The following is a 19,914-nucleotide window of genomic DNA, read 5'->3' as shown; positions in this document are numbered from 1 at the left end:
GGTTAAGTAAGTATTGAGACATCCATGAAATGTGACAATACACAGTCCCACAAATCATGTTGTGGAATGTGTTTTGGATCCATTGCTTAATGCAAAAAGTCACTTAAAAAACATTGTATCATGTGATCTCAATTTTACAAGAGAAGGATACACTGTGTATGCTTGGAGGAAAAGAATCACCAAAATATTTACAGTGACTATCTCTGCATGTTCAGAGAGGGCCTGATCTTTAATTTTTCTCCTCTGTGCTTTTCCTAATATTCTACCATAAACATACATTATGTTTGTTATCAGAGAGAAAGAAACAATGGGATTGTTGAAGAACCTCAGCCAGGGAAGTTAGCAGAATTCTTATAAAGACTAGAAGAATTTATACAGGATATTGGACTATTATATCATATTATATTATATTATATCATGCTGTAAGGTTCTGCAGTCACAAGGGGATGGGAGGGGAACTTCTTAGCAGTTCTATTTATGATCAGATGATCTTGGGGAAATACAGCGAAGGAAAACCAGGGTCAGCTGAGCCCAGGGAATTTTCTAAAGAGCATCATTTATGATGATCACATCTTGGAAAGAAGATGTAAGAAGTGTACTGGATATGTTTTGGTTTAGAGTTCATCATAAATTGGAGAGAAATAGTAGACTTGGATATCCCATAAAATAGCTCTGAATCCTGGTAGGATTAATTAAATCTCTATCCATGCAAGATAAAGTGGTGAAGCAAATCCTAACTGGGCCTCTGTTGCCTAGAATGGGTCTTGTGCTTAAAAACAACAACAACATACAAGAAGAAAGGAACCTGGCCTTGGAGCTGGAGTTGGTGATCTACATCCACCCTGGTTGGAGGCTCCATGAGACCCAGCCCTACACCCCCAGGTCTATCCGGAAAGAAGCCACGGCAAGGATGGTAGAGGTCGTCCTCATCAAGGAGGTTCCATTAACACCATCTCCTTTGTCAGCCACACCCATCCACCTGTGTGTGTGCCTGTATGCATGGGTGCCAGCCACAGGCATCACTTGTGTGTGTGTGCCAGCCATGCCCATCCAAGTGTGTGTGCACATGCCAACCACAGTCTATCTGTGTGCATGCATGTGTGCTGGCCATAGTCCAGACTGTGTGGGTTTTGCTTTGGCACCAGACTGGGAATCCCAGAATGGGGCAGCTGTGGGACCACTGCCTTGTTCCCTGTACCTTCATAAACAGCTGTTTCCTTATTTCATGCTGTAGCATGCTCAATACCTTAGAATCGTGAGTGTTGCTTAGGGGGACAAGTAATTGTGTTACTCCTTCCCCACCCAAACTCCTCTTGGTATTTCTCACCAAAGTGCAACTAGCATTAGAGCATGGGATTGTTGCATGGGATTGCCCCAACACTGAAGCCCTTTTAGGTTCCCTGGCCCTCCTAGTGAATACAGTAGGACCCTTTCTGATCCTATGACAGTAGGACGCTTTCTGATCCTGTGATAACCCCAAATGCCCCTACCACTCTTTCAAAGCCATGTGGGAGCCATGCTGAAATGACAGGTGTGATATCCAAATTGAATTGGATTAGCTCAAAAAGCCTTCAGGCCCGAATCCTCTCCCAATCTGTGACCTCTCCTCCAAGTGCCTGAGAATGACTGAGTGTCACACATTTGCGTGATGGCTTTCCTGTTGGTGACCTGTAGCTTTGAAATACTCCGTGCTTCCGACAACATATATCTGTGGATATTTGGAACGTGTGGCTTTGACCAATTTTGGGATCCCATAAATCTTAGAATATCAGAAGAGGAATCAAGGACCCAATATTTTAACTCACTCATTTATTCATTCATTCATCAGTCAGGATTTGTTAAGGACACACTGTGTTAGGCACTGGAGCTCAACAATGAGCACAGAAATGAGTCAAGCAATCACATTAATAATATGTCATTGCAAACAGGGATGCATGCTCTGAGGAAAGAAAAGAATAAGTTAGAGGGGAGTTTGTCTTAAAGGAACTGCCCAGACTGAGCAGTCAGAGATGGTTTTTCACTAAGTGATGTTTGAGTGAGATCTCAAGGCAAAGCAGGGGCTGGCTAGACGAAGGGGAGTTGTGGTGGCATTTGATCATTCTAGATGGAAGACAGAGCCTGTGCGATGGCCTGTGTGCAAGGGCTGCCAGGGCGTGGGAGGAACTGAAAGGAGCCAGTGTGGTTGAACACAGAGAACCAGGGGCATTTGAATAAGGGCCTTATGGGCTTCTTACGGAATTGGAGTTTTTAAAAGAGCAATGGGGAGCCCCTGGGGGCCTTTAAACAGAGGTGCTAGGACCAGATATGCATTTTGGAAAGATGATCATAGATGCAGTATGGGGATTAGATTAGAAGAGAATCTGACTAGATCCAAAGGGAAATCTTCCACCCTTTTCAGAGCAAGAGATGAACACAGCCTGGACTAAGGGGGTGGCAGTGGACCAGGCAGTGAACTATGGGTAGACTTATGAGATCTTGAGGAGGTAAAATGATTGGTGCTTGGAGATGCATTGGTTTGAGTGATGAGAATAAAGGAAATGATAAGGATGATTTTCAGTTTTCTTGTTGGGCAACTTCCAGAATGGAGGTTGATGCCATGCATGCCACTGGGACCTCAGAAGGGATCAATCACATGGAGCTGGCCGGGAGGGCTGGGAAGAAATCATAAGTCCACCATTGGACAAGTTGGGCTTCACTTGTCTTTGAGACCATTTAAGGAGAAGTCAAATAGGGAATTACCTTGGTGGAGGGAGGGGCAGGAACAGGGCGGAGACAAGAGAAGATATGGCCATGGTGGACTTGCAGGTCTCTGTGAACCTTGATTTTCTGTCCTGTTTTCCTTTTCTGGATGGTTCTGCTAGATGATGGGGTGGCTGTCCAGTGTGACAAGCAGCAAGGGAGGCTCAAGTATCACGGGCAGGAGGAGAACAAGAACTAAAACTCCTTAAAGATTGTGCGCAAAATAAGATTAAAAGTATAATTGTCCCTCCGTATCCATGGGGGCTGGTTCCAGGACCCCCGCAGGTACCAAATTCCTTAAATGCTCACGTCTCTGATAAAATGGTGTCCTATTTGCACACAACCTGTCCACATGCTCTGTATACTTTAAATCATCTCTAGATTACTTATGATACCTCATACAATGTAAGTGCTTTGTAGATAGTTGCTATACTATATGGTTTAGGGAATAATGACAAGAAAAAAGAAGCCTGTGCATGTTCAGTATGACACAAACATCCATTTTTTTCCCAGAATATTTTCAAACCATGGTTGATTGTAGCCACAGATGTGGAATCTGCAGATACTGAAGGCTGACTGTCATATGTCCTTTGGAAACCTGAAATAATAGCATCACCTGTTGACAGTCTAGGACCTTTCAAAGATCTAGCAATACTGATGAATTAGAGATTTAAATTTTTTTTTAATGTTTACAAGCATTCTGACTCATTAAGACCCTCTGACATGACCTCAATGGCTTGACTTGTTGGGAAAGATAGCCTGGCCTTTCCTAATACGAGGTGAAGACCTATATAGCTCCAAAGGAAGGTTCTCGGACATGTCCCTGATCACTTTTTGCCCCTGCCTGAGGCCATTCATTAATGAGATTGTGTTGAGGAAGGAAAAGAATAGATTAAAGGAAATATCACAGATGTTTCCCTCACTCCCTGGGAGTGACTTCCTGGTCACTTTGAAGTTTAGATGGTGGGGTATTTTCCAACACTAATAACCAATTATCTGATTCTCTAAACACCAACTGAGTGTTCAAAAATTTAACTCAGTTCCTGCGTTAGTTTGCTAAGGATGATGGCCTCCAGCTCCACACATGTCCCTGCAAAGTGCATGATCTCATTCTTTTTTATGGCTGCATAGTATTCCATGGTGTATATGTACCACATTTTCTTTATCCAGTCTACCATTGATGGGCATTTGGGTTGATTCCATGTCTTTGCTATTGTGAATAGCACTGCAATGAACATATTTGTGCATGTGGTAAACTAATACAGGAACAGAAAACCAAATACTGCATGTTCTCACTTATAATTGGGAGCTAATGATGAGAACACACGGACATATAAAAGGGAAGAGCATGCAGTGGGGCCTATTGGAGGGTGGAGGATGGGAGGAGGGAGAGAAACAGGAAAAATAACTAATGGATACTAGGCTTAATGCCTGGGTGATAAAATAATCTGTACAACCAATCCCCATAACACAAATTTACCCATGTAACAAACCTGCACATCCTGCACACGTACCCCTGAACTTAAAACTTCAAAAAAATTTAATCCAATCCTGACACTAACCATCTGGAGTGAGCACAGACCCCACAGGTTTTAGGGCTCAGTCCCACAAAACTGCACTTGCTCCTGATGGGGTTGCACGTCCTGGGCTTCTAGTACTTCTGAACGACTGGCTATAAATTGAGGGTTCCCATGATGGTGGATGGAGGGTACATAGGATGAGGTCCTTAAGGGTCCTGAGCAAAGCAGCTTCTGTTCCTGCGGAGTTGGGGTGCAAGAGCCTCCTGGCACAAGAATGTGTTCACCAACCCAGAGGCTCTCTGAACTCCATCATTTAGGAGTTTTTATGGGGGTTTTGTTACGTAGGCATGACTGATTTTTTTTTTTTTTTTTGAGACAGAGTCTCGCTCTATCGCCAGGCTGGAGTGCAGTGGCACGATCTTGGTTCACTGCAACCTCCGCCTCCCGGGTTCAAGCAATTCTTCTGCCTTAGCCTCCTGAGTAGCTGGGACTACAGGAACGTGCCACCATGCCCAGCTAATTTTTGTATTTTTAGTAGAGACGGAGTTTCACCATGTTGGCCAGGATAGTCTCCATCTCTTGACCTCGTGATCTGCCCACCTCAGCCTCCCAAAGTGCTGGGATTACAGGTGTGAACCACCAGCCTGGTCGCAAGATGGGTTATTAACTCAATCTCCAGCTCCTCACCTCTCCCCAGAGCTTGGAGGGCGGGGCTGAAAGTTCCAGGTTTCTAAGCAACATTTGGTCTTTCTGTGACTAGCCCCCATCCTGAAACAATCTAGGGGCCCAGCAAGAGTCGCATAATTAGAACAAAAGTCACCTCCTCTCACCCCCATCCCTCAGGAAATTCCAAGGCTTTTAAGAGTTCTGTGTCAGGAACTGAAAAAGACCATATATATATTATTATTTTTTTGAGACAGGGTCTTGCTCTGTTGCCCAGGCTGGAGTGCTGTGATGCAATCTCAGCTCACTTTAACCTCCGCCTCCCAGGCTCAAGTGATTCTGCCACCTCAGCCTCCCAAGTATCTGGGACCACAGGTGTGTGCCACCACACCCAGCTAATTTTGCAATTTTGCTTATTTTTCTTTTCTTTTTCTTTCTTTCTTTCTTTCTCTTTCTTTCTTTCTTTCTTTCTTTCTTTCTTTCTTTCTTTCTTTCTTTCTTTCTCTTTCTTTTTTTTTTTTTTTGACAGAGTTTCGCTCTTGTTGCCCAGGTTGGAGTGCAGTGGCACGATCTGGGCTCACTGCAACGTCTGCCTCCCAGGTTCCAACGATTCTCCTGCCTCAGCCTCCCACGAAGCTGGGATTACAAGCACGTGCCACCACACCTGGCTAATTTTGTGTTTTTAGTAGAGACAGGGTTTCTCCATGTTGGTCAGGCTGGTCTCGAACTCCCGACCTCAGGTGATCCACCCGCCTCAGCCTCCCAAAGTGCTGGGATTACAGGCGTGAGCCACCACGCCTGGCTAATTTAGCTTATTTTTCACAGAGACATGGTCTCACCATGTTGCGCAGGGTTGTCTTGAAATCCTGGGCTCAAGTGATTTGCCCACCTTGGCCTCCCAGAGTGCTGGGATTACAGGCCTGAGCCACTGTGCCTGGCCTATGCTTCTCATTATGGCACAGGTGGCTGGTCCACTCTGGAGGTGCTCCCTGGGTAGCAGGTGCACCCATGGGAATCCTAGCAGCGATTTGCAGCCAAATTCAGCAGTAGCTCTCTCGTCCCCTAGGAAGCAGCAGCTTCTGGCCAGCATGCTTGCCTGCAGCAGCTGATCCTGTCCCTGTAGAGGGTCTTACCTTCCACAGACTCTGTCCAAAGCCGTTGGCTGGTCAGAAAGTTCTGAATCTGGATGGCTCAGGACTTGCCTAGTGAGAGTGTGTGGAGTAGGCAGGGGCCACATGCATGCCACATGGTTATATCTGTGGCCAACGGCTGTCTAACAGAAGTAGGAATGCTTCCATTCCAAGAATAAGGGCGCTTCTCACCATTCATTGAGTGTCTGCTTGGAGCCAAACATTGGCACACTCACTTGCTAATCCTGAAGCCCTGTAGGAAGGCATGGGATCCCCCAGGTTGTAGGTGAGTTACTGGAGCCCCTAGAGGTTAGAAAACCTGCTCAAGGTCACAGAGACGTCAAGAGGCAGAGTCAGGATTCAAACCCATGTCTGTCTGTTGGGATCCAATGTCTGTGTCCTTTCTTGGTGCATCCATATTCATGTGATGGGGACAGAAACCAGACGCAAGACCTGATGATCGCTGGAGGCCGGCCAGACCCACACAGCAGTGGTTGACTTACCCCATAAACTAAACCAGGGAGACAATAGCCTAGAAATCCCCATGAGATTTCGTTCATGGTGTGGGCGATCTGAGGCACAGTCGGCAGCCTTCACCGGTCAGACAAGATGCAGGGGACTTCCTCTGATTCACTAGTTCACCTCCTGGTGTCTATGGGACCCTGTGTGGAGACTTACAGGTCTTCAAGGATGCAAAATTTCCAGCCGGGAGAGCACCACATGGGCCTCTGTTCTCCCAAAGACACGGCCAATCAGGATAGCTGGAAAGGCCTCCAGGTGAGAGCCTGGTAGGAAGTCCGCCAGCTGGTGTAGACAAGCCCGACTGTCCAACATACAAACACTTAACCTCAACTCCCTTCGGCCCTAAGGAGAAGGATGGGCTGCCCAGTTCTTTCCTGCATCTGCTTCTCATGCTGCCTTTAATAGCACCTAACTCATTTCTTCAGCAAAAAAGACTGGTGAAGGGGAGGAACACAAACTGTCCCACTGGGACAACTCTGTCCCTTTTATTCAAATCCACAAATGGGCCAGGCACAGTGGCTCGTGCCTGTAATCCCAGTACTTTGGGAGGTCAAGGCAGGTGGATCACTTGAGGTCAGGAGTTCAAGATCAGCCTGGCCAACCCCGTCTCTACTAAAAATACAAAAATTAGTTGGGTGTGGTGGCGCGTGCCTGTCCTCTTAGCTACTTGGGAAGCTGAGGCAGGAGAATTGCTTGAACCCGGGAGGCAGAGGTTGCAGTGAGCCCAGATTGCACCACTGCACTCCAGCCTGGGTGACAGAGCAAGATTCCCTCTCAAAAAAAAAAAAAAAAAATCCACAAGTGGTTCAATATTTGCTTAGACACCGGCACCTTTGCAAAGCCTTCTTCAGCACTCGGATACCCCATACCTCCCTCTCTTCTCTGAACCCTAACACTTTCTAGTTGCACCATTATCTTTTTAAAATACTAGGTGCTTAGGTAACCTTTCAGGGAGAAAAATAAATCAATCACCAGATGAGCATCCAACTTTAAAGTCCTTCCATCCCTCCAGGTTCTTTTTTGACCTCTCTGGGAGGCTTTACATGTATTTCCACATCTTGGGAAATCGTGTGCACGTGTTGTTATGTGATCTCCTTCTAGAAACCTTTATTTCTGAGGCACATTTCCATGTATGGACATCAGCTCCATGCCTGTTTTCAACTGGCTCTGCAGTGGTCTGCCGTGCAAACGTCTTGGGGTTTTCTTAGTCATTACAGGATTGCTGGGCACTGGGGTTGCTTCCAGCTCGTTGCTATTATAAATAGTTGTGCTGCCTCCGGTTGCTTTTGCATTGAATCACCCACTGCTTAACTGTTTAACTGTTTCCTGGGGATAGTCCTAGCTCACTGAAGGTAGGGATGTGGTTTAACCTTTTGTATCCCCCTCACTGCCCACAGGAGTGCAGGGCTCTAAGAAGAGCTTTATAACAAACACGGTTGCCAGGCGTGGTGGCTCATGCCTGTAATCCCAGCACTTTGGGAAGCCAAGGTGGGCGGATCACCTAAGGCCGGGAGTTTGAGACCAGCCTGACCAACATGGAGAAACCCCATCTCTACTAAAATTACAAAATTAGCCGGGCGTGGGGGCACATGCCTGTAATCCTAGCTACTTGGAAGGCTGAGGCAGGAGAATCACTTGAACCCGGGAGGCGGAGGTTGCGGTGAGCTGAGATTGTACCCTTGCGCTCCAGCCTGGGCAACAAGAGAGAGACTCCGTCTCAAAACAAAAACAAACAAAAACAAAAAGACAAGACAAAACAAATAAAAAAACATGGTTAGCAATGGACTGCACTCTTGCCATGTGCCAGACGCCGGGGTAAGTGCCCTCCACATATCATCTCATTTAATCCGCATAGCCGCCCCACACAGTAGGTGCCACGGTGATTCTCATTTTATCAAGGAGGAAACTAGCGCTTAAGATGATCAGATGCTTTCCCCAAAGCCGTATAGTCAGCAGACGGTGGCTGGTGGAGCTGGCTGAGGCCACTGACTCCACACACCCCTGCTCAGCCTGTCTCATGGAATGTCGCTGGGACGGGCAGATGGCTCCTATAGCCCTTCCAGTGCACTCCTGGCTGGTCCTAGGCTGAGGCTGGGCAGTCTTTTAAATTTATGTATATATTTTAAAATTTATTATTTATTTATTTATTTATTTGAGATGGAGTCTCACTCTGTTGCCTAGGCTAGAGGGCAGTGGCGTGATCTCAGCTCACTGCAACCTCCGCCTCCTGGGTTCAAGCAATTCTCCTGCCTCAGCCTCCCAAGTAGCTGAGACTACAAGCACGCACCACCATGCCTGGTTAATTTTTGTATTTTTAGTAGAGACAGGGTTTCACTATGTCGGCCAGGCTGGTCTCGAACTCCGGACCTCATGATCTGTTTGCCTTGGCCTCCAAAAGTGCTGGGATTACAGGGTGAGCCACCGCACCCGGCTTTATTTATTATTTATTTATATGCAGGATCTCACTCTGTCACTCAGGAAAGAGTACAGCGGTGCAATCTCAGCTCCCTGCAGCCTTGACCTCCTGGGCTCAAGCGATCCTCCCTCCCACCTCAGCCTCCTGAGTAGCTGGGACTACCGGTGTGCACCACTACACTTGGCTAATTTTTAAGTAATTTGTCATAGAGATGGATCTTGCTATGTCGCCCAGGCTGGTCTTGAACTCCTGGGTTCGAGCGATTCTCCCACCTCAGTCCTCCCAAAGTGTTGGGATTACAGACATGAGCCACCATGCCCAGCCTAGGCAGATTTCTTGGCTTGCAGCTTTCTAAGAATGTTCAAGATTTGCCCCATGCAGAATCACATGATTGAAAGTTACTCGTTTGCCTGTGCTGCTAATCCCATGTAGAAGACCACCTTCGAGTGCCTGCACCTGTTTGCTCCCAAGCTCCGTGTCTGCCATGTGAGACATCTGTCACTGTCACACCAGGCTCCAAGTGGACTCAGCATTTCCATTCCAGCTCCTGGGTCCCAGACAGCGTTTTCTAAACAGAAGAGCCCGTCTTCCTCTCATACCCACTGAAGGGAGAATGGAGAAGAGGGCGGGGTTCTGCTTGCAGGGCCCTTTGCACTTCAAATATTTTACAGGAAGGGGATTGCAGATGCACCCTCTGCCAAGGAAGCTTTGAGGGCCAGCATCACATAGCCCTGTGGTGAATGAGAGCTGGCAGGGTGACAGTCTGCGAGGAAGGAAGGATGGAGCTCCGACCCCTTTGCTTTCTGAAACTCCTGCTGAGAGAGTTGGCTCCACAGCCCTGGTAGGGCTCGGGTAGCTGCTGTGGCTGAATCAGTCCTCTGTTATCACCCGCTCGGTGCCATGAAGTGGAAAAGCAGTCTCTGCCCTCCTCGTTCCTCCAATAAGCCCATCCTAATCACCCTTATCATGCTCCTTCCACACCCTGAGAAAAAATGGCCTCGCAGCAGACGTTTGAAGGCACCGGGACTGGAAAAGTCTTTCAAATGGCACCTGATTTGGCTACATGCCTGCAGACAGGTGAAAGTTAGTGCCCCCATTTCACAGGTGAGGCCACTGAGGTTCAGAGAAGTCAATCAATGATGTGATCATGCTCACACATCCCAGCAGTGACCAAATATGTAACGTTCATACACTGTGGAATAGAAACCCACTGATTATCAAATGTCTTTTATTTTATTGTGATTCTTACTTTTTCTTTTTGAGACAGAGTCTCACTCTGTCACCCAGGCTGGAGTGCAGTGGTATGATTATAACTCACTGCTGCCCTGAACTCTGGGGCTCAAGCGATCCTCCCACCTTGGCCTCCTGAGTAGCTGGGACCACAGGTATGCAGCACTACTCCTGGCTAATTTTTGTAGAGATGGAGGGAAGTTCTCACTATGTTGCCAGGCTGGTCTTGAACTCCTGGCCTCAATGATTCTCCCACCTGGGCCTCTCAAACAGCTGAGATTACAGGCATGAGCCACCATGCCTTGCCCCAGATGTCTTTTCTTTCTTTCTTTTCTTTTCTTTTTTCTTTTTTTTTTTAAGGCAGAGTCTCCCTCTGTTGCCTAGGCTGGAGTACAGTGGCGCGATCTTGGCTCACTGCAACCTCCGCCTCCCAGGTCCAAGGAATTCTCATGCCTCAGCCTCCTGAGTAGCTGGGACTATAGGTGTGCACTAGGATGCCTGGCTAATTATTGTAGTTTTAGTAGAGACAGGGTTTCACCATGTTGGCTAGGCTGGTATCGAACTCCTGGCCTCAAGTGATCAGCCCCCCCTCAGCCTCCCAAAGTGTTGGGATTACAGGTGTCAGCTACTGTGCCCAGCCCCAAATGTCTTTTTAAAAATAGCATAATTTTTATAATTAGAAAAGTAGTACATTCCCATTTTAGAAACTGTAGAAAGAATACAAAGAAAGGAAAATAAAAACTGTGATAACTATATGTGTTTTGTGGTATATCATGCCAAACTTTTCATAAATATTTTCTTAGCTGGTTAGTTCCAATTTTCTGTTATTATAAACAATGCTGGGATTAACATTTTGGGAGTAGAGCTTTTTCTGTATTTTGTGAACTTCCATAATCTAGATTTTCCAGAAGTGGAATTACTGGGGCAAATGACATAAGCATTTCCAGTTCTCATGGCGGATGCTGTCTAATTGCTTTTCAGAGGAGTCAATGCCTTCGACACCCCCACTAACAGTGCCTGTTCACCCCACCTTCTACCATCTGAGTGCAAATTAGCTGAGTGTAGTGGTGCATACCTGTAGTCCCAGCTACTCAAGAGGCTGAGGTGAGAGGATTGCTGGAGCCCAGGAGTCGTCGAGGCTGCAGTGAACACTCTATCCTGGGTGACAGAGCAAGATCCTGTCTCAAACAACAACAACAACAAAAAAATAAATAATTTAAAAAGCCTGCCCAGGGTGGTGTTTGGCATAATAGACAAAAAACACATATAGTTATCAAAAGCGTGTTTACAAAGATCTCTTAATTACCAGAGAAAATGCTTATAATGTTAAGTGAGAAAAGTCAGCTACAGAAATTTTTATGCAAAGGAACAAAATTCTGTGAAAATATATGCATGAAGATTATATAATATACTCAAGTGTTGACATTAGGTTCTCTCCAGGTGATGAAATTAATAAACTTAATAAAATGATTGAAGTCCATCAACATCTTCCATTATGGTTTCCTCTATGATGTCTATCTTTGTTAGTCACTTAATTGTTAATAGCTAATTTATCGAGTGTTTCCTCCACACCAGACTCTGCTAAGCACTCCTGTCCCTGGGTTCCCCGCCACCAGTCCTGAATGCCAGGGGTAAGTTTGGGGGCAGGCCTGGGCCACTCTTCCTGAAGTGATCTTCATTCCTGGTTCTGGGCGAGGAACCCCTGAGGAACTTCCCACTTGGCTGCACGACAGTGAAGTCAAGGGGTAAACCTGCCAGGGCCAAACCAGCGAAACCAGCATGCAACCTTCTTTTCTGCCAAAAGCCTCCAACTCCACAAAGGGTTGAACTCTGTGGTGGGCCAAGCTCCCAGTGCGAGATTAAGAGAGAATAAAACATCATTCTTTCCCTCAAAACCTTACCAACTAGTTGAGGGATGGCAGTAAATAGATGACTGTTCTATAAAGTGGAATGCAGGAAGGGCCATAGCAGATGTGAGATTGGAGGACCTTGGGCACTCAGAGTGGGATGTGACAGCTGAAGGGCTCCATGGAGGAGGCACAACTTAACCTCCCCAAAGGGCGAGGAGATGGCAGGAGGGGACCCCAGGCAGAAGGCCTAGGGCAGCCCAAAGGATGGAAGGTGTTGGAGGAGCCATGAGACATTCCAGTGGGAATGAGGAAGGTGGGTCTGAAGGGCAGTGTTTGCCAAGCTCAGGGTCTGCCCTTGGTGTGGGCTGTGGAACCGGAGGTTGTGTCCACTGTTCAGAGGGGGATGATGACAAAAGCCCATGGGGTTAGAGAGGGATCTCAACTTCAGGTGAGCAGTGAAGAGGCTTGAACTAGGGAGATGGATGTGAGAATGGAAGCCAAATGACAGATTTGAGTTAACAGAGATGGAATTGACACTACTAGATGATGGAGTGATGGAATCGTTCCTGGTAGCTTGACTCCCCACCTCCTCTTTCCTTGGCCCCCAGGTCAGCCAGGCACAGTCCCACTGGTTCCACCTCTGTAACATGTCCTGAGGTCATCGGTTCCCTCCAGCTCCAAGGCCACCACCCCATCACGGCTTGTCCGCTTCACTACATTCACCTCCAACCGACCTCCCAGCTTCCCTCATGGCCACTCTAACATCTCCTCCTCACTGTGGCCAGGATCAGGGGGTCCTTGTGATTTGTCATCTGAATGAAGACACTTTTGTAAGTGGAAGGGGCATGGAAGATAATGACAGCAGGCAAAAGACATAAACCAGGACTGTCCTGAGCAAACATGGACACATGGACTCCCCAGCCAGAAGAATCATCCACAAACCTAAGTTACACCACATATCATTCCCCTGCTTAATGGCTTCCCTTTGCGGTTAGAACAAAGCCCTGCATGTGCTCACCCAAAGTCCCTTTCCCAATCTCACCTTCTTCTCCCTCTTGCATCCTTTCCCCTGTGCTCTGGCCCCACAGTCCTTCTTTCAGCTCCAAGAACTTCCACTTGCCAATCCTGCTGCCTCTATGCCCTCCCCCGATTCAGGTCTCCTCCACATGGTGTCTCCCCAGACAGGCTTCCATGACCTTGATGATGACTCCCTCCTCTCCCTAGTCCATTCTCTGACACTCATCACTGTCTGAAAGTAAGTTATTTATGGACCTCTGTTTGAAGCTCCAACATGCAAAGAGCTTGGGAGTCATCACTCTTGTCCTTACAAGAAAGAGCTGAACAAACAGAAAATCGATGACTTTTTGGAAGGACCCATTGGAGAACTGAGCTTGCAGGGCAAACTACCATCCTGAAATCTTGAAAGACAGATAAATCCAGAGTCAGAGCCAAGATCTACTGACCTAGAACAGAAACCACTGGACTCATAAACTGGTAGAAACACTTAAGTGATTATCTTAATGAATCTGGAGGCTGAGTGTGGAGTAGTGTGAGAATGACAAACTCCTAGGGAGTGCAGTCTTGATGGGGCCCCTCACACTTTTTTGGGCTTTACCTCCAGAAACCCTACCAAGTTCTCATGGTGAAGATCCAAGATGGCATCTTGGATGGAAGAGTAATTCTTGTGAAATATACCTAGAGCGTTCTCCAGAACAAAGGCCTACCCTTTGGGGAAAAGGCTTCACCCGAGCCTTGTTCCAAAGCCATGGGGGAAGGACAACCCTCTCACCCCACACCCCTCTGGCTTCCCTGCCTTACCTAAGGTGGGTGGAGGTATATGCAAGAAGAAACACTTGGGTGTCACAGGCTAGGGTCACAGGCCCACTAAAAGCCTGAGATTTAATTGGAAGATTATAGAACTCTTCCCACTCCCCTACATATTACCACCACACCAACAGGCCTGCATATAATTATAGTAAATTACAGCTGAAAGAGCTTTGAGACAGAGACTCTCTTTGAGGAGGAGTATGTAGGGAATCCTGAGGTTAAAAGGGGAGAGAAAAAACACAAACAAGGACATTGGTGGAATTAAAAGGCTCTGGCACCTTTAGTTTTTACAGAAAACACTAAACAAAAAGACCAACTTCTAGCCAGATTCTCATAAATCCTTACATAAGAGGTCTATTTACCTCAGTTCCCATTACCTAATACAACTTGTCCAGCTTTCAACAAAAACGTACAAGTTCCACCAAAATCAAGAAAGAAGTCATAAGAGAGAAAGCAATGATCTAAACCAGACTCAGCTATAACACAGATGTTAAAAATTATCAAGCAGGACACTTAAAGTAACTACGATTAATGTGTTAAGGTCTCTAATGGAAAAAGTAGACAACATGCAAGAATACATGGGTAATGTAAGCAGAGAGATGGAAAACAGAGAGATAAAACCAAAAAGGAAATGCTAGAAATTAAAAAAAAATAATAACAAATGAAGAATGCCTGTGATGGGTTCATCAGTGGAATCAACATGGCTGAGGAAAGAATCAGTGAGCTGAGAATGTTGAAAGAAAATTCACAAACAGAAATATTACAACAACAATAAAAAAAACAACAAAAAATACAATGTCCAAGAACTGTGGGGCAATTACAAAAGCTGTAACATGCACAGAGTCGGAATACAAGAAAGAGAAGAGAAAGAGAATGGAGCAGAACAAATATTTGAAGTAATAATGGCAGTGGGCCTTCTAATATTAATGACGTATACCAAACCACAGATCCAGAAAGTTCAGTGAAATTAAATTAGCTACCTTTGTGTTTGTTGCCTAATTTCAGTTTTAGTACCCTCCAATCCATTTTCCACCCTTCATGAGTGATCTTTATCAACACAAATATCGATTTTATTTCTAATTTCAGACACTTCAATGGCTCCTTATTGCCTTAAGGATAAAAATCCAAATTCCCCAGCATGGCAAAAGAGAAATAGTTCACTATGTAATCCACTGTCCTGGCCAGTCTCAATGCCTGCTTCAGTCTCAAGACTGGTTCGTCTCTGCCCTCAGCTGTTTGGAATTATTAGCAGTTCTATGGAGGGGCCATCAAAAGCCTTTGGGATCTGTGAGGCACAGTGGCTCAGGCCTGTAATCCCAGTGCTTTGAGAGGCTGAGGAGGGAGGATGGCTTGAGCTCAGGAGTTCAAGACCAACGTGGGCAGCATAGCAAGACTCTGTATCTACAATAAAAAAAAAAAAAAAAAGACTGGGCATGATGGCTCATACCTGTAATCCCAGCACTTTGGGAGGCTGAGGTGGAAGAATCACTTGAGTCCAGAAGTTTGAGACCAGCCTGGGCAACACAGCAAGATCCCATATCTAAAAACAAACAAACACACAAAAAAACTTAAAAAAAAATTTCGGGCATGGTGGTATGTGCATACCTGTGGTCCCAGAACTTGGGAGGTTGAAGTGGGAGAATAGTTTCAGCCTGGGAAGTTGAGACTGCAGTGAGCTGTGATTGCACCACTGCACTCCAGCCTGGGCAACAGAGTGAGACTGTCTTAAAAATAATAATAATAATAATAATAATAATAATAATTTTAAAATTAGCTTGGAATGGTGGTGCATGCCTGTAGTCCCAGCTACTCAGAAGGCTGAGGCAGGAAGATCACTTGAGCCTGGGAATTTGAGGCTGCAGTAAGCCATAATTTCGTCACACCTGGGTGACAGAGCAAGACCGTGTCTCAAAAAAGAAAAAAAAAAGCACCTTTGTGCTGTTTTCTCCTGCTTTCTTCTGCTCATTCCTCGCCTTTCCTTTGTCACACAATATTTTAACTGGCTATTTATTTATATCCCTCTCCTGACAGAATGTAACTACCCAAGAGAAGTGTTAATTATTTACAACTTGGAAGTGAGGCATAAAGATGATTACATGCCTATACTTGTGCATTATCCAACACGCCTGCCTACAGGTACCTGACTCTCTAGGGAATATTGTCTTTTCTGATTTACAGTTTACTATTGATCAGGCGTAGACTCTAAAGTTCCATGTTAACTTATAGAAAACTGATAAACTATAGATGATTTTTGTCCAGTAGAGGTGTAAAGGATTTCTGGCGAGTAGAAAATCATAACTGTGTGTGTTACAGTTTTATTACCTTGTAGGATATTAACCAATTTTGAATGTTGTTTTAAAATTGTATTCCATCATCCGTCTACTGTCTCCATCTATATACATAAGTATCTACGCGTCTGTGTATGTGTATATTTTCCCTGGCTTTTTCAGAACTAATGTTACTATTCTGTCAGCTCCATCATTATCGATTTACTGATTTAAATAAGTCATTGGCACAGGCCAGGGCAGCTGAGGAAGTGGGATTGCTCAGCAAACTTTAAGCGAGAGCCTGTCTCAAGGAGTGTGGTCCAGTCAGCAGCTTCTAGGTGCAGTGCCTTCTGGAATCACCATACCAGGGGTCCCCAACTCCCAGGCCCTTGACTGGTACTGATCCATGGCCTTTTAGGAACTAGGCCACACAGCAGGAGGTGAGTGGCTGGCCAACAAGCAAGCAGTACCACCTCAGCTCCACCTCCTGTCAGATCAGCCACAGCATTAGATTCTCATAGGAGCACGAACCCCATTGTGAACTGTGCACGTGAGGGATCTAGGCTGCACAGTGCTTATGAGAATCTAATGCCTGATGATATGAGATGAAAGTTTCATGAAACCACTCCTGACCCTCTCCCCATCCATGGAAAAATTGTCTTCCACAAAACCTATCCCTGGTGCCAAAAAGGTTGGGGACTGCTGCACTACACCTTTCGTGCCAAGGTCAGGCCCAGCCAGTGACAGAGTCCAGAGGGTCCTGGGCCTGGCCATTTCTGACCACTTCCTCCAAGGGATGACTGCTGGGGCTCCTTGGGGGCTGGTCAGACCTCCTCAGAGTTGTCCCTCACTCAGAGGCTCTTTCCTCCCCATTCTCCTTCCTTCCTCTCTCCTTTGCTGGACACTGCCAGTGAGGCCCTGAGGCTGAGTTACTCCCCAGGCCAGGTGTGGGTGGAGGAGGGCAGTTGTGGTCACAGGCTGAGTGGGAAAGGAGCCGGTTTCTTCAGGCCCTTGGAAAATCAGGGAGGAACTGGTATGCTAATTCAGTAATTCTCCCATAGCCTTGACAGGTACAAAATCTCTGAAAACCGGTATTTAAAATTATATTTCTAATCATGCCATTTTCTCTGCTTGGCAATTCAGGAAGTTGAATAGATGATTATGAATCATCCGCAAGTGTGGCTAATTAAATATTTGATCAATAGAATTTAGTGCTTTTCATCTGCAGAGAGTTTTCCTGACATTAACTAATTGAGCCAAAGAAAGGTATCACCTTCATTCTATAGATGGCAAAGCTGGCAAAGGGAAGAGGTTTAAAGAAGCCAGCAAAATAAAAAAATAAAAAATTAATGAGCGAGTGCATGCGGGGGGAGGGAAGCCTGGCTAAGAGGAACTGTGGTCTGCAGACTCCCACTTTGGGCACGTTCATGTCACTGCACAATTTATCACTGCTTGCATCAGGGCAATGCGAACATTCCCAGGTCAGCCCATCGTAGAGTTCAGGTTCCTTGAACTGGAAACAAATGAGCCGGACGGAGCTGGAGTTGGCCCCTGGGGTCTTTAGGGGAAGGTCTTGGCCCAGTTCTGTGCCTAAGAGCAGAGGCTTCCTCTGCAGATCCTAGGACTGTGAAGCCGGAGGCGGCGCTGGAGTTGGAGCCTTGGCTTCTGCGTTGAGCAACAGCGCCACCTGCTGGCCACAGCCTTCCGTCTGCGCGGCTGCCCCTCGCCAGATGCAAAGGTATCTCCTTTGTCGCTTCCGTATTTCCTTCCCTGGCCAGTCCCTGCATTTCCTTTCCTGGCTTCTCCAGCTGGAGGGAGGCAGCTGACAGCTTATATCAAACCTGATAGAAATCTGTTAGAGAGACATTCGGATATTAACAGCAAACACCTCCCCCTAACCCTATCACCCCTGGATAAAATTAGTGTTCATGAGGAAAGGTCTCATTCCCAGGCAGGTCTCGTTCCTCAGCTTCCACTGGAATGGGTCTCTTACCAGCGATGGGAGGATGAGGAAGAACTGAATGTTGAAGACCCTCCTCAGTAAAGGGCATAGCGGGTGCCTCTCGGGGCTGCCTGCGAGGATGTGATGAAATCATGCAGAGAAAGCAGCCTGTTCGGGCGGGGCCTGCGATTCCTCTCCCGCCCTTACCTAAGGCCCTCCCTAAAGCAGGAGGTGACCTTGGGCCTCAGTTTACCTCCATTATTCAACAACAATCAGGTACAGGGGAATGCGGACCACCACATCTGGGTGCCGTCCTTAAAGAGCCTTGCCCCACCCAGCTCTGTTATCTTAGCCGAGTCCCGTAACTTTTGTATGCCTTGGTCTTTTGTTTATGACATGACCAATCTATCTCCCAGGGCCATTCAAAGATTTTTTAAGAGTCAAAATCTAAAAAAAAATTTAATATAGCAAGATTCCAAAACTTTCCATATTTCCAATGCAACAGAACAATTTCGTTTTCCTGAGCAGCTTATAAAATCAGAGCAGCATTTGATAGAGCTGCCTCATGGTCACTGAGGTCTACCAAAAAATGGCACTACTGGGTAGGAAACCCAAGTCCGCCATTTTCCAAGTGCCATGTTGTTTGCTGGAGATTTCAGAAATATCTTTATATGAAGATCAGATGAGAGGAGGATGTAATAGAGTCAGCACCTGTAATGGTTTCAACATCAAGGTCCAAGATGGAAGTGCTAGCGCAGGGCGCAGGATACTATGAAACCAGGCAGCCCTGGAAACACCCCGGGTCCCATGAGAAAGGGACGCACTAGGCCTGGGGATCCTGAGGACCAGAGGAGTCAGTCGCAGGTGCTGTTGCCGGGTCATCCCCACATCTGAAGAGCCCCTTAGCCGGATTCCCCTGGCCCGCCCATGTCCAAGTTCACTTTCCTTCTGTGCACCCTCACCTCAGCCTCGAGGCCCTACTTGCTATGTCCTTATCCTGCCTGTGCCACACGTGGGAGACTGGGTGTGCCTCTCCTCTCCCTCTCCTCCTTCCAGATCTTCTCTTTGGAACTGATGGCTGAAGGACTGATGTCCAGTTGCAGTGAGAAATCCTGCCAGTCCTTTCAGGCCGACTCAGAGGACACCTCCTCCCAGAAGCCACCCTGATCCCTTCCCCTCCCTCCCACCTCCAGCCAGAAGTCCCTCCTGTGGACACGATTCGTTTCCTTGGGCTGTTATGACAAAGTACCACAAACTGGAGTGCTTAAACAACAGAACCTTTATTGTCTCACAGCTCTGGAGGGCGGAAGTCTGAGATCAAGGTGTGGGCAGGGTTGGTTTCTTCTGAGGCCTCTCTTCTGGGCTTGTAGAGGGCCGTCTTCTCCCCGTGCATCTGCACACGGTCTTCCCTCTGTGCATGCCTGCCGCCACTTCCCAATTTCCCCTTCATATAAAGACACTAGTCAGATTGGATTAGGCCTACCCTGAAAACCTCATTTAACTTAATGACTCAAGTATCTCCAAATAAGGTCACATTCTGCGGTACTAGGGGTTAGGACTCCAATCTTTTTGGGGGAGTAGGTGAAGGGGAAAGAGTGGGGCACAATTCCATGCAGAACAGGTTCTTGTTGCATTGCTATTATTATTATTTTTAGAGACAAGGTCTCACTGTATCACCCAGGCTGGAGTGCAGTGGTGCAATAATAGTTCACTGCAGTCTTGAACTCCTGGGCTCAAGTGATCCTCCCACCTCAGTCTCCCAAGTAGCTGGGACTACAGGTGCACCCACCATGATTGACTAACTTTTA

General features: G+C 46.7%; 3 annotated features.

The window, feature by feature from the left end:
* Window positions 6,275–6,344: an enhancer, noted in NCBI's record as "active region_3227". NCBI's record gives its function as "activates an Ori minimal core promoter by ATAC-STARR-seq in GM12878 lymphoblastoid cells {active_cell/tissue: GM12878}" and the evidence as "EXISTENCE:reporter gene assay evidence [ECO:0000049][PMID:35858748]".
* Window positions 6,405–6,494: an enhancer, noted in NCBI's record as "active region_3226". NCBI's record gives its function as "activates an Ori minimal core promoter by ATAC-STARR-seq in GM12878 lymphoblastoid cells {active_cell/tissue: GM12878}" and the evidence as "EXISTENCE:reporter gene assay evidence [ECO:0000049][PMID:35858748]".
* Window positions 7,649–7,698: an enhancer, noted in NCBI's record as "active region_3225". NCBI's record gives its function as "activates an Ori minimal core promoter by ATAC-STARR-seq in GM12878 lymphoblastoid cells {active_cell/tissue: GM12878}" and the evidence as "EXISTENCE:reporter gene assay evidence [ECO:0000049][PMID:35858748]".

This window comes from Homo sapiens, chromosome 10 (assembly GCF_000001405.40).
Source record: "Homo sapiens chromosome 10, GRCh38.p14 Primary Assembly".
Taxonomy (NCBI): domain Eukaryota; kingdom Metazoa; phylum Chordata; class Mammalia; order Primates; family Hominidae; genus Homo; species Homo sapiens.
Note: the sequence above shows the minus strand (reverse complement) of the source record. Positions and strands in the feature narration are given on the sequence as shown.